The 15398-nt window shown below is 39.4% G+C and overlaps 1 protein-coding gene across 3 annotated transcripts in view, besides 1 other annotated feature; it reads right to left on the bottom strand.

Annotated features, from left to right (window-relative positions):
- The window catches only part of RALA (RAS like proto-oncogene A), an 84549-nt gene that overhangs the window by 60863 nt on the left and 8288 nt on the right, over positions 1-15398 (bottom strand). The window contains exon 2 of one of the 3 annotated variants that reach the window (XM_047420682.1): positions 1-15362. This exon is cut by the window's left edge and continues 18033 nt beyond it. The exons of the other annotated variants lie outside the window; for them this stretch is intronic. The gene's annotated coding sequence lies outside the window, so the exon portion shown is untranslated. The remainder of the gene's footprint in view (positions 15363-15398) is intronic. 3 annotated transcript variants of the gene reach the window in all.
- Positions 10479-10528: an enhancer, noted in NCBI's record as "active region_25879". NCBI's record gives its function as "activates an Ori minimal core promoter by ATAC-STARR-seq in GM12878 lymphoblastoid cells {active_cell/tissue: GM12878}" and the evidence as "EXISTENCE:reporter gene assay evidence [ECO:0000049][PMID:35858748]".

Raw genomic sequence — 15398 nt, 5'->3', positions numbered from 1 at the left:
CAGCCTGGGCAACATGGCAAAACTCTGTGTCTACAAAAAATACAAAAATCAGCTGGGCATGCTGGCACATGCCTGTAGTCCTAGCTACTTGGGAGGCTGAGGTGGGAGGATTGCTCGAGCCCGGGAGGTCGAGGCTGCAAAGAGCCATGACTGTGCCACTGCACTCCAGCCTGGGTGACACAGTGAGACCCTGTCCCCAAAATAAATAAATAAGAATCTGTTCATAAGCTAACAGGAATACTCAGTTATACTGATCTCACTAAACAATGGTTTAGTGCCAACACAACATTTATATACTATTAAAAATAAAATTTTACATTTTATAATAGCTTATCCAACCTCTCATTATTTTCTTACTTTTTCTAACTTATTATTTTATGGTTTATAATGGAAACCATATAACTGAACAGCAGTACATGGGTAAGGCTGAAAAGTAAATATATACATGGGAGGCTCTAGAGTTCTGTACTGAGAGCATGCAGGACCAAAAAAACATTACTCCTCTGTAACAGAGGTACTCAAAGTGAAGTAGTTAATGACTAGAACAGAATAAATTTGAGAGTACACACTTAGAAACTTTTATAGAGAAACTAGAGCAATTTTATGTCTATTCAATGTTCAATCTTTTTTTGAGACAGGGTCTTGCTCTGTTACTCAGGCTGGAGTGCACAGCAAGAACATGGCTCACTAGAGCCTTGACCTCTGGGCTCAAGTGAAGTGATCCTCCTGCCTCAGCCTCCTGAGTAGCTGGGACCACAGATGTGTGCTGCCACATCTGGCTCATTTAAAAAAATTTTTTGTATAAATGGGGGTCTCACTGTGTTGCCCCGACTGATCTCAAGCAATCCTCCCACCTTAGACTCCCAAAGTGCTAAGATTACAGGTGTGAGCCACTGTGCCCAGTCTGTTCAATCTAATTTAAAAGTGGGCTTGTTTTTATTTTTTATTTTTGGCGGGGGGTTGTAGGGACAGGGTCTTGCTCTGTCATCCAGACTGGAGTGCAGTGGCATGATCATGGCTCATTGCGGCCTTGACCTCCCAGGCTCAAGTGATCCTCCCACCTCAGCCTGCCAAGTAGTTAGGACTATATGCATGAGCCAGCATAGTTTTATCTTTCAAACATTTCATTCTTCTAGTAATTCATTGTGGTTGTATTTTCCAAAGTTATCAGTTGGCCACTTATTAAAAATTTTTAAAATAGCCTTTCACCAGAGATAATTTTGAGAGCTCTGAAGTTGAGAATGGTCCAAGTCTGTCTAAAGGCAAATCTTATAATGCTTCTTAAATTGTTTTGATGACTCCCCACTGACCTGAAATAAGGTGTTTATGATCTGCCTACAACCTCCTGACACCTCTAATCAGCCTCTTTTCCCTCCCCTCTTCACCCCTTAGGAATATACTCTTGCTCTAAATTCATGGCATGAATTTTATTTCCCAGTTTTGAACATTCAATGTCAAACTCAACCTGATGCATCTCCGTTATCAAATTCCTATTCGTCCTCCTGTGGTCACTTATGGAAAGCTTTCCTTGTTCCTTAAGCCTAGATTAAGTGCCAGTGCCTATTATTTGCCTAGTACAGTGCCTGGCACATAGTAGGTGTTTATTCATTCAAGAAACATTTTATTAAACAAGATTTGTGCTCATGTCACTATACCACACTGTCTCCCCTAAAAGGTTATATGCTTCCTTTACACTTTACTGACGATAAATGGACTTTTATCAGTTTCAAATATTAAAGGAAAAACAAACTATAATTTCTGAAGAAAAAACCCTCAATTACTATCATCATTCCCTCTCTCATTTCATTTATGAGGCCATAATTGTCAATGTGTCCCAGTTTAAGAATTAAGAAAACACACATTAGTAACAACATTCATCTCAAAATATTTTCATATTACTGCCTTAAAAACGAAATGTTCTTTCTGAACCCTTCTGCCCCCACCTCCCACACTGTCACACAGGATTTACAAAATAGGTTTATTGACTAATATAACAAAAGTAAGCTACAAAACCCTGCTGTTGTTTACCCTTGTCCCAAGAATTTTAATGTAAGTGATAATACTTTATACTGACATTAAATTGGAAAAAAAAATGAGTACTCAGTTCTGAACCTGGATGATGTTACAATTATAGTCTCAATATTTTAAGCCAAAGGACACTTCACACTTTTAACGTCTAGGAAAGTCATCAAAAAGTCTGATTGCATCAAACCGGCTTAATCCATCACTGTAAAGAAAGAGGAAAAAGTAATTTATAAGCAGAACTTGGGTTTCCTACAAATTTGCACAAATCTGTCACGTGATTAAATGTATTGTATACTGCACAACAAAACTTTTTAAAATGAAGTACCTAAAATTTCACTAAAGGCATAGAAAAGTTTACTACTTTTTAGTCTCAATGGTAGTGATCCTCTGACAAACATTACTTCTGGGTTTTAAACAATCAAGAAATAGCAGCATAAATATTCTGGACTATATATTTACCTAATCTTTTTTGGTTGAAGAACAAATTGTCAATATTTGCATCAAAGATTTAAAGATCTAATGAAATTAGATAGTTTAAATCCACTAAGAATAAAGGGCAGTACTCTGTTTATGGCAAAATAGTAACCAAATGAACAGCTGGGGTTGAAGGAAAAAGAGATGAAGGATGAAACAAAGTATTTCAGTAGTAATGCAATCTTATTCTTTTATTTCCAAGTCTCTACAAGAAAGCAACTATTATCTAGATAATTTTAAAAGTATTCACATACATATTTATATGAAAAATTAAACTATGTTTCACTCAGGCTAATAATAACAGCATTCTCTAAATACTTAACAACTGATAGCAGGGAAAGTGGACCAGGATGTGCTAAGACACGAAGGGAAGTCAAGCTGGGATAAACCTCAACACAGTCAAGATGGGAAAACCTTGATGATTCAACCAAGGTTGCAAGAAATGATACATTCTAACTGTATGAATTAGCTCCCAAAATAAGCACCAATGGGTGAATACCTACTGAGTATCTTATTACACTTAACTCTTAACACATACAAATTAAAAAAAAAAAAAACATAGGAATTTCCCAGCAAGACCATAATGAATAAGAAACAATCAATTTAGCCACCAGAAGTAGTACTCAGGTAGAATAGTATTTTGATTTCTGAGTTATATTCAGTAAAGATTTTGAGTCCAGAATTTTGTCTCTCTCACAAATTCCTCAATTTAACTGAATAATTTTTTAAAAGATTTCTGAGGACCTGGAGTCATTATATGTATTAACCTGCTCTCAGAGGCTATTATGAATTCAGGGGAGTATTCCTTGAATTCAATAGCCCTGTAATGTGGAACTCTGAATTCTTCTATCAGCACTGCATATTCTTTCTTTTCTTTTCTTTCTCTCTTTATTTCTTTTGAGATGAAGTCTCAACTTTGTCACCCAGGCTGGAGTGCAGGTGGCGTGGATCTTGGCTCACTGCAACCTCTGCCTTCCAGGTTCAAGCCGTTCTCCTGCCTCAGCCTCCTGAGATGGCTGGGATTACAGGCGTGCGCCACGACACCTGGCTAATTTTTGAATTTTTAGTAGAGACGGGGTTTTGATATGTAGGCCGGGCTGGTCTCGAACTCCTGACCTCAAGTGATCCGCCTGCATCTGCCTCCCAAAGTGCTGGGATTACAGGCGTAAGCCACCACGCCTGGCTAATTTTTGTATTTTTAGTAGAGAGGGGATTTTGCCATGTCGGCCAGGCTAGTCTCGAACTCCTGACCTCAAGTGATCCGCCTGCCTCAGCCTCTCAAAGTGCTGGGGTTAGAGGTATGAGCCACTGCGCCTGGCCGTTTTTCTGCCTCTTTCTTCCCCTGCATAGTTGTCCCCCGCTGATCACTACTGCCTATGTGCCTGCCTGCAGCAGCATCCTTTTACCCCTAAAAATTGTTTGGAAATAAACTATCAAGTTTACTACTAGGTATAAAGTAACAACAAGTAGGTTCTGGGTGATAACCTAATTATTCTCTTATGCATCAGATACATAATAGTCTTTAGTGCTAGGACTTTGGCATTTATATGGATGCTCAAAGGTGTTCTTTGTTTGAACTTTACTTCCTAATTCTTAATGGTATAGTCTTAAGTTTCCTTATCTTCTACCTCACAGGGTTTTACTGGATGATTAGATGTAAACAATGAATATAAAATTGCTTAGGTCAGGGCATGGGAACAGAAGGAAATCTACAGATTCCAGTAACTTCCTCCTGCCTTATGTGTTTCATACCTAAGCTGTAAAACTTGAGCTCCAAGTAAGTGAATGTTACAGTGTTATTTTCAGAAGTTTGCCATCAGGATGGTTAGAAACTAACTAAAGAAATGAATGATGTGTGGCCTGAACAGGCAGACTGCTTGGGAAACCAGTGGGAAAGTTTTACGACAGCCAGCTTCCATTATTTGATTAAAGGTATATGTAAAATGAATACTCTCAATTCTGTCAACAGATGCGCTATTTAACAAGTGCTCAAAAATACGTCTACTAAATGCTGCTCCCAACAGCAAACCAAGGAATAAAGAGAAGTCACAACAGTCTTCAGTTCAAAGAGGACATATTTTTAAATATAAACATCCAAAAATGAAGCAGATTTCCACAATATCACTACAGGGGTTTACGAATGGCTAATAGCTGGATAGTTTTGAGGGGATTTTTGTAAAGAGTGTGAAGGAAATCAGAATATATAACCCCAAAATATGCCTCTTTGATGCAAACATTACTTTTTAGATGAAGACAACTGAGAGATAGCAAACCAAGGAAAATCTATCTCTACCCTCTCTCTTTTCTACCTAAAGGCAGGATATAGGATATAAATTCTGTTACTAGAGACAACTCTAGACTCATCAGCCCAGAGACAGCACCAGAGGAATCTGCAAACAAATCTTACTCCTTTACTTTCCCCCTATATCTTTACCTTTCCACCGTTTCCCACCCCTGGAAGCCTAAAACCCTTTCCTTTGTCCTGTCATTTACCCACACATTTACTGTTCTTTGTTGAAGATGCTATATAAACCAGAGCTCTAAGCCACTGTGCTCTGAGTTCGTTTTCACTGAGGTTTCTCCCACTTGTTGTATGCTGCACATGCTTGTTTTTCTATTGTTAAATTGCCTTTTGTTACAGCGGTTGTCCCAACTGAGGAACTAAGATGGGTAGAGGTGATCTTTAGTCTCTCTCTTGGGTAGAAAAATATACAAGATGACCCCTTAAGGGCTGTTCCAACTCTGACAGATAATACATTTTATGCAGATAATCTCAAGCCAGAATTTTTCAATTCTGCAATTAATTTTCATATTAAAATAAATCCCAAAAAGTACTATATGGAAGAAATGTAAGTTCCACACAGTATCCAAAGATATCTGTTCAACTACATGAACAAATTCCAGTTATATCTATCTACTAAGGGTTTAGATAAGAAGCACTTCAAGTGATAAAAATGATTTCCTTTTTTGAGCAAGAAAATCACAAAAACTACATCAATAACACCATCACCATCACCATCCACATCATATACCCAACATCATGAAAATGAACTGGGAATTATCCTTACTTAAAAAAAATTATCCTTACTTAAAACAAAAATCACTTCAAATATGAATCATATAACATATGGACACTGACAGAGCTTGGGAATCCAAATATATGAACAGAGGGGAAGCAAACCAATAACAAAAAATTGATTTCAGTAATCTGTAGGAATATAGGAACTCCAAGATGGTCATAACCCCACTCAGAGAGCTAAAGAAAACTACATAAAAGAACGTCCATGAGAAGTGGGGAGGTCAGCCACAATTATCAAGTTGTTATCATTGTTGATACAGGTCCCCTCCCTTCCTTGGGAGGTGGGAAGATGTATGTGGAATGTTTTAGCATAAACCAAGTATCATATATGTTTGTTTCAATATGAAAATGGTGCTATTAGTAAAGTCTGATTTAATGTTAAAATTAATCAGAAAATAAATATGAGTTTTCAAAAATAGTCCAGGTATTAACCTTCTATTCATTACTTTTGGTTTAACCTCATAAAAATGGGCAAAAATGATATAACACCCACAAAGAAGTAGACATATGATTTGTCTGCCCAGCACCCCTCCAGCACCCCTTCCCCTCCTTACCCCATCACAACAGGACTAAATTAGGATGTGCTACTTCCCACAAAAGCAAGGCATGAGACTCAAGCTGGCCAAAGCACTCCATTTCTTGGGCTCTTCTGATAGGGCTAGTGAGGAAGACTGTCTCTGCTGAGCTGGGAAGAACTGAATCTGGAGATAAAGGTGACTATATTCCTGACCACATGAAGAGAATCTGCCAGTAAAATGGAGAAGGAAGTAGAAGAAGAGAGGAAAAAAATGGCAAAATTCTGTTTTGCTGAACTGGATTTCTGGCTCTTACAACTGAAAGAGTCCTAATACCCACAGTATGACTATTTGCTTCACATGGTCCAAAGGGGAAGAGTTTCTCACTGCTTAACTGTTGAATGAAGATGAAGGTGACTATTCTTTCTTTAATTGATTCTGCTTCAATACTATTAATAGATACATGGAAGAATTAAGACCAGAAGATTTAGCTTTTCTTCCAAGCCTCCAAGAAAGTCTCATGGGAAATTAGAAAACATTAAGAAAGGCTCATGGTCAACATCATTACAAAAAAACATAGCACTCTCTGAGAGAAAATATCTGCCATTCATATATATCTGATGTAAGATTTGTATCTGTAATAAACAAACTCTTACAACTCAGTAACAAGAAAATAAATAACCCAATTTAAAAAGAAACAGGAAAAAGATTTGACTAAACATCTCACCAAAGAAGATATGTGAATGGCTAAGAAGCACATGAAAAGATGCTGAACACCATCAGTTATTAAGGAAATGCAAATGAAAACCACAGTAAGATACCATTTCACGCTGGGTACAGTGGCTCATGCCTGTAATCCCAGCACTTTGGGAGGCCAAGGCGGGTGGATCCCTTGAGCTCAGGAGTTTGAGACAAGCCTGGGCAACACGGCAAAATCCCGTTTCTACAAAAATTAGCCAGGAGTGATGCCATGCACCTATAGTCCCAGCTGTTGGGGAGGCTGAGGTGGTAGGATTGCTTGACCTGTGAGGCTGAGCTGCAGTGTGCCAAGATCTCACTACTGCACTCCAGCCTGAACAACAGAGCAAGGCCCTGTCTCAAAACAAAACAAAACAAAAACCAGATACCATTTCATACACACTAGAATGGTTATAATATAGAAAAAACACTAACGTCAAAAAAGACTACAGCAGGTTCTCAAATAATGTTGTTTGGTTCATCATGATTCGGTTTTAATGAAATAAGGGAAAAAAAACCCATATTGCAAAGATGTGCATAAGAGGTTCACAGGCATGTCTAAATTGTCCATGTCTGAGTGAGTGTGCGTGTGTGCATGAGGGCATCCTGCAACAGGACGGTGTCCTGTTCAAGGCTGGTTCCAGCCTGGTTCCCTGAGTTGCTGGAATAGGCTCTCACCATCCAAGAGCCTGAACTGGAAAAAGCAGGTTGGAAAATGAATGGATGAATACAAATTATCAGAAAATAAAAATCTGTAAAGTCTATGATCATAGGACAAATGCATGAAAACACAGGATATGATATAAAAGTGCTCAGAAAGCCTGCCATATTTGTTATTATTTCTCTCCCTCTACTTTTTAAAGGAACAGGGTCTCACTATGTTGCCATGGTTAAGAGTGCAATGGCTATGCAGTCTTAACCATAATGCACTACAGCCTCAAACTCTTGGGCTCAAGAGATCCTCCTATTTCAGCCTCTCATGGAGCTGGGACTACGTGCGCACATCACCGCCATTTCTTTTTTAACTGTGGTGGCAGAAAGTTCTCCTTACAATTTTCACTTTGTAAAGATTTCTTCTTTGATTTGACCAACCACCAATGCAACTGCTGTCACTCACTGATTGGGTGAGTAAAATTGGGTTAAGTAATAGTCTTACTTGTTTGTATCAATCTTTCTGAAAGGTATGTAAAGCTCACAATTCTTTCAATGTTTAGAAGTGTTTTGGGTCTTGATTTAGAAGTTTGTGATGTTTTTGTGACCAGAAATATGCTACAGAAACTTAACTCTTGTATCAATTAACCTATGGTAAAATTGTTTTTGTTATACACCATTTCACTTAAAGTCACATTTTCCAAGAACCTACCTATGACATTAAGTGAGGACTTACTGTGTAACAACTGTCCATAAACATGCAGAGAAAGAGAAGCCCTCAAACACTGCTGGTGAGGATGCAAAGTAATGTGCAGCCACTCTGGAAAACAGTGTGGCAATTTCTTAAGAGGTTAAACATAAATGTACCATACAACCCAATAATTACTCTCCCAAGTATATATACATGAGAAATGAAAACTATGTCCACACAAAGACTTGTACATGAATGTTCACAGCAGGATTATTCACAACAACCAAAAAGTGGAAAAACTCCAAATGTCCACCAACTGATAAACAGATAAACAAGATGGCCTGGGCACAGTGGCTCATGCCTATTATCCCAGCATTCTGGGAGGCCAAAGGGGAGGACTGCTTGAGCCCAGGAGTTTCAGACCATCCTGGACAACACGGGGAGAACCCTATATCTACAAAAAAATTTAAAAAATTAGCCAGGCCTGGTGGCATGTGCCTTCTGGTCCCAGCTACTTGGGAGGCTGAGGTGGGAGGAATGCTTGAGCCCAGGAGGTCAAGACTGCAGGGAGACATGATGATAAACAAAATGTGGTATATCCATATCCATAGAATAGAATACTACTAAGCAACAAAAAAGAACTACTGACACATGCCTTAACATTAATGAACCAGAAAGACACTATGCTAAGTAAAAGAAGCCAGACACAAAAACCACATATTGTATGATTTCATTTCTACCATCCGGAAAGGGCAAATTTATGAAGATCCCTATTATAACCTTAGAAAAATCACTGACTTGACACTAAATATTGTTCTAAATCTATGAACAACTGGCACACTCCTGTAATCCCAGCTACTCAGGAGGCTTAAGCAGCAGGATCACTTGAGGCCAGGAGTTAGAGGTTAGAGTGAGCTGTGATCACACCATTGCACTCCAGCCTAGGTGACAGAGCATTCAGCCTAAGTGACAGAATAAGACCCTGTCTTTTAAAATAAAATTTTAAAAAAAGAGAGAGACATTAGGAGACAACTGGGAAACCTGAATCTGGGTTAGATATTAGAGGATGTTATGGAATTGTTACTAATTTTCTTAGGTGTTACAATAGTATTACAACAGTATTATGCAGGAGAATGCCTTTATTCTCAGAAAATGCAAGCTGAAGTACACAAAGGTGAAGTTTCTCCAACTTACTTTCAAATAGCTCAAAAATCAATCAATAAATAAAAGCATCTATACTCAGAAAAAGCAAATGTGGCCAAAATGATAATTGGTGATTGGTGAATATAGGTGTAGGGTATGTAGGCATTCAATACACTATGTTACTCTTTTCTATAGGTTTGAAATGTTTCAAAACAAAAAGCTGGGAGGAAATAGCACTCTCATTTGAAACCTAACCAAATGTAAATGGAATCACCAATACAGTTATCTGTGCATTTAGAAAGAAGCACATAGTTGGTGTATAAATACTGTCATCTTTTTGGTCTACCTGTGTTAACATACTGAAACTAACAGAGGGAACAAATGAAACTAAAAGTATAAAATAATTATTCAGAGACTGAACCACTTAAAGCTTTACAAAAAATGCTATTGTTAAGGAATACTTTTTGAAGTATTACTTAAGTCAAAGTAACATAATGAATTGGTGCTAAAATCTTTAAGTTACAGGTGTGTTCAAAAGAATTGTTGAATGAAGGTTAATAAATGTGGAAGAATAGCCGTCCTCTCTATATCTCTTGGCTGATAATAAAGATCAAACAAGGATAATGTATACAAAAGTGCAGGTTCCATTAAAAAAAATTAGTCACACTTTGTACCTTCCTGTTAATAGGGACAGAAATATAGGATTAAACCTAGCATCATTTTGGGTTACTTTGGCTATAACTGGGACTCCTCAATTATGTAGTCAACACTGCACTAAAAATTCACTTAGACAATGTCAGTATTCACTATGAATAATTCCCCTTCATTACTCTTAAACATTCTATTTGCTATACCACAAATTTTAACAGTGTGCTTTTAACAATTTAATGTTTTTAATAGCTTGAAACTCATCTGATAGGGTTTGACTCTGTGCCCTCACCAAAATCTCATGTCAATTTGTAATCCCCACATCAGGGGATGGACCTGGTAGGAGGTGACTGGATCATGGGGGTGGTTTCCCCCATGCTGTTCTAGTGATAGTGAGTTCTCATGAGATCTGATGGTTTAAAAGTGTAGCACTTCCTTGCCCCCGTGTCTCTCTCCTGCTCCACCATAATGAGAATGTGCTTGCTTCCCCTTTGCTTTCCGCCATGATTGTAAGTCTCCTGAGGGCTCCCGGTCATGATTCTTGTTAAGTTTGCAGAACTCTGAGTCAATTAAACCTCTTCTCTTCATAAATTACCCAGTCTCAGGTAGTTCTTTATAGCAGTGAGAGAACAAACTAGTATAACATCAAACACACAAACGTAAAACAGAAATTTTGTTGATGAATCAAAAAGAAAGTCCACCTGGAAGTTCAAACAAAAAGTCATGTTTATAGTTTTTACAACGAAGAAAGTGTTCTTGGGACTGGACCTCAAACTTAGAGATCTAAGAAGAAAAGGCATACACGATATGCTAAAATATAGATAACTTAATAAACATAGGTGAGCTCAAAGTATCCCAGCAGATGAAGGAAGACAGAAATTATATTCACTAGAATGGCTATAATAAAAAAGATAAGACAATAACAACTGTTAGTGAAGTTGCGGAAAAACTGGGAACTCTCATACGCTTCCAGTGGGGATGTAAAATGGTGCAGCTGCTTTAGAAGTTTGGCTGGTCTTCAAAATGTTAAACATGGGAGTTATTATACGACCCAGCACTTCCACTCCTAGGTATATACACCCAAGAGAAATGAAAACATACATCTATGCAAAAACACATACATCAATGTTCATGTCAACATTATTCAATATAAGCCCCAAAGTAGAAACACCCACATGTCCATCAACTGATGAATGGATAAATTATGGCATACCCACACAATGGAACATTATTCAGCCATTAGAACAAATGAAGTATTGCCGCATGCTACAACATGGATGATCTTGAAAACATTATGTTAGGTGAAAGTAGCCAGACACAAAAGACCACCTATTGTATGACTCCATTTATGGAATCCAAAAATTATCTGGAATAGGCAAGTCTGTAGAGCAGGCTCCCCAACCCCTGGGCCACAAACTGGTACCAGTCTGTGGCCTGTTAGGAACTGGGCCGCACAGCAGGAGGTGAGCGGAGGGTGAGCAAGCATTACTGCCTGAGCTCCACCTCCTGTCAGATCAGTGGTGGCATTAGATTCTCATAGGAGTACAAACCTTATTGTGAACTGTGCACCTGAGCAATCTAGTTTGTATGCTCCTTATGAGAATCTAACTAATGCCTGATGATTTGAAGTGGAACAGTTTCATCCCAACGCCATCCTCCTCCCCATTTCCCCTGGTCCGTGGAAAAACTGTCTTCCACAAAACCAGTCCCTGGTGCCAATAAGGTTGGGGACCACTGCTGTAGAGAGAGAAAATAGATTAGTAGTTGCCAGGGGCTGAGGGGCAGAAGAAATCAGGACTGATGACTAATGAGTATGGCTTTCTTTTTGAAAGTAATGAAAATGTTCTGGAATTAGATATTGGTGATAATTGCACAACTCTGACTATATTAAAAACCACTAAATTGTACTTTTTCTTTTTCGAGACAGGTCTGGCTCTGTTGCCCAGGCTGGAGTGTAGTGGCACGATCTCGGCTCACTGCAACCTCCACCTCCTGGGCTCAAGCGATCCTCCCACCTCAGCATCCCGAGTAGCTAGGACTACAGACAGGCACGCGCCACCATGCTCGGCTGATTTTTCTGTATTTTTTGTAGAGATGCTTGGCTAATTTTTTTCTATTTTTTGCAGAGATGGGGTTTTGCCATGTTGAACTCCTGGACTCAAGCAATCTGCCTGCCTTGGCTGCCCAAAGTGCTGGAATTACAGGCGTGAGCCACCACACCTGGCAAAACTGCACATTTAAAAGGGCAAATTTTATGGTATGTGAATTATATCCCAATAAATCTGTTATTATAAAGAAGATTCAAGTCCTCACTACAGAAAAATAATAAGCAAAGGAAATAAAGACAATTCACAGGCTAAGAAATATAAATGACCAATGAATGTGCAAAAAAGACAAGCAGTTGTAACCAGATAAGTAGAAACTTTAACAAAACAAAGAAATGGATTTTATGAACTGGATCAAAACAAAACATAAAAATAAATAAGCATAGCAACAAATGGCAACAAATAGCAACAAAATGATCAAGTTTTATTTTATTCTTAGGGACTAAGAAAGCTACTGAAAATCACAAGCAGCAAATAAGAATGAAGTAGCAGGCACCGAGAATTGTCTTAGCTGTATTATGTAGACATAAGAAATAGGAAGACCTTGGAGATTAATAGGGTAGTGGGAAGGTTACCAATTATTCAAACATTAAATGACTAGGGCTGGTGTCCCAGAAACCTAAGACTTCTGGGGATGGACTAAATATTTTAGGCAGAAAGATGATGGAAGACAGATTTCCCTCAGACTAAAAATGGTGGGGGCAGGCAGAGGAAATAAGACAACAACAAAAAAGAACAGAAAAGATCACCCTCCTGCTGAAGTGTGCCATCAGGGTAGCTGCATGTACCACAGGACAAGATCTGAGGATCTTCAAGGCAGGAAACCCCCAAGTCTGCCCCACCCAAGTCTGAATTTCATACCAGTGAGGCAGCAAGACCCAGAGAGAAAAAGGTGACATGGGTCACAGGAAAAGTGAAAACAGACAGCTGGAATGGACCAAGGAATGGACCAAGGTGAGTGAGGGCTCCTCAACCTAGGGACAAGAAGAGATCATTAAATACTCTACCTACCAGCACTCCTGGGACAGCAAAGATGGACAACAGGCCATGGACTGAGAGTTGTAAGGAGTTCTAGGAAGGAACTCATTAGTATATGGGGCAATAAATTAATAAATACCCTACCACCCAGCCCTCCTGGGAGAGAAAACAATAGAATGACAGAGAAAGGCAACAGGATGTGGTCTGAGAGTTCACACAGGGACCTGGTAATCTTGAAATTATAAGAATCTACAGAAAATACGCTACTTGAACTTTCTGGATAAATTAGATGGCAGTGAAATAAAAACACTCTCCAGAACTTGGGAGACCAAGCACTGGTGTGCAATGACCATCACTGCCATGTGGATGGAACATGTGCAGGATGCTGGGCCAACACCTGATTTCACACCAACAAATCATTCCTGCCAGATGAGTGGATTCGCATAAATAAAACCTGGAGAAAGAACTGCCTCAAAGCCAGATGTCCCAGGCCTTACACACTTGTCAAGAACCACCCACAGATATGTACTCTAGGATTACCCCCCAGTGGATAAACTCATCTAATTACAAACCTGCTGATAGGGTGTGGCTGTGTCCCCACCAAAATCTCATCTTGAATTATAATCGCCATAACCCCACTTGTTGAGGGAGGGACTAGGTGGGAGGTGACTGGATCATGGAAGCAGTTTCCTCCATGCTGTTCTCGTGACAGTGAGTTCTCACGAGATCTGATGGTTTTATAAGGCAGTTTTTCCTGCTCTTGCATGCACATGCTCGCTCCTGCTCACTCTCATGAATTCTCATTCTCTCTCTCCCCTTCTCTCTCTTTTCTGCTGACATGTAAGACACGTCTGCTTCATCTTCTGCCATGATTTTAAGTTTCCTGAGGCCTCCCCAGCCATGTGGAACTGTGAGTTAATTAAACCTCTTTTCTTTATAAATTACCCATTCTCGGGTATGTCTTTATAGCAGTGCGAGAACAGACTAACATTTACCTTGCTATATGATCTAGAAATCCAAGAAGTCAAGGCAGCAACATATCAATACAAAACAAGCCTTGCTCATCTGCAAAGCACACACACCACTTAAGACTGTGAAGCCTAGAAGGGAATCCCTAGATTTTCATAGACCTATGACAGCTTTAGCCTAGAAGGGAAAAGGAGGTCACCCTGTGGCATCTATAACTAGCTGGGTAAAAAACAAAATGAAATCCAGAAAACTGTGTAGAGAAGCAAGAAAACTCAGGGCTGCTTGTATAAACTGAGAAACCATGGAGCAGTTACCATGCTAAACACCGTATTTTCCTACCATGCACTAGGAAAGTTGACCTTTCCTGCTTCTTACCACATCCATCTCCTTAAGTATCTTTTGTTAAAATTTAATTTTTTAAAAATTGAGATGGGGTCTCACTCTGTCACCCAGCCTGGAGTGCAGTGGCATGATCTCAGCTCATTGAAGCCTCCCCTCCTGGGCTCAAGTGATCCTCCCACCTCAGCTCCCTAGTAGCTGGGACCACAAGCACATGCCACCATACTTAGCTAATTTTTGTACTTTTTGTAGAGACAGGGTTTCACCATCTTACTCGACCTGGTCTCAAACTCATGAGCTCAAGCTACCTGCTAGCCTCAGCCTCCCAAAGTACTGGGATTACAGGCCTTAGCCACCACGCCCAGCCAATCTCCATAAGCATCTCTTAAAGACACAGCGAAGGACTGTGTGCAACCCTTGTAAGGTATATACATAGCCAAACTATTATCTACATTGAAATGTACACATTTGTATATCCATGGTGAAGATAATACAATGAAGCAATCAGTACCTCTATTAAAGACATTGTTACACTGCTATTTAATCTTGTTCTGGAGATATTAGTCAGTGCAATTAGATAAATAGTTAAAGGCATAAACACTGGAAAAGAAGGAAAAAAAACTATTTACAGATGACACAATAGTATATCTGGAAAGTCTGAGAGAAGCAATGATGGAAGTAATTGATATGATTTGGATGTGTGTCTCTTCCAAGTTTCATGTTGAAATGTAATTCCCAAGGTTGGAGGCGGGCCTAGTCGGGGGATGTTTCCGTCATAGGGCAGATTCCTCACGAATGGCTTGGTGCTGTCCTCACAGTAATGAGCAAGTTCTTACTCTATTAGTTCACATGAGAGCTGGTTGTTTAAAAGAGCCCAGAACCTCCTCCTCTCTCTCACTCTTCTTTTGCCATGTGTCACACCTGCTCACCCTTCGCCTTCTTCCATGAGTAAAAACTTCCTGAGGCCTCAACTCGCCAAGCAGATGTTGGTGTCATGCCAGTACAGCCTGCAGAACCGTAAGCCAAACAAATCTCTTTCCTTT

Source organism: Homo sapiens, chromosome 7, assembly GCF_000001405.40.
Source record: "Homo sapiens chromosome 7, GRCh38.p14 Primary Assembly".
Taxonomy (NCBI): domain Eukaryota; kingdom Metazoa; phylum Chordata; class Mammalia; order Primates; family Hominidae; genus Homo; species Homo sapiens.
The sequence above is the reverse complement of the archived record's forward strand: the minus strand, read 5'-3'. Positions and strand labels throughout refer to the sequence as shown.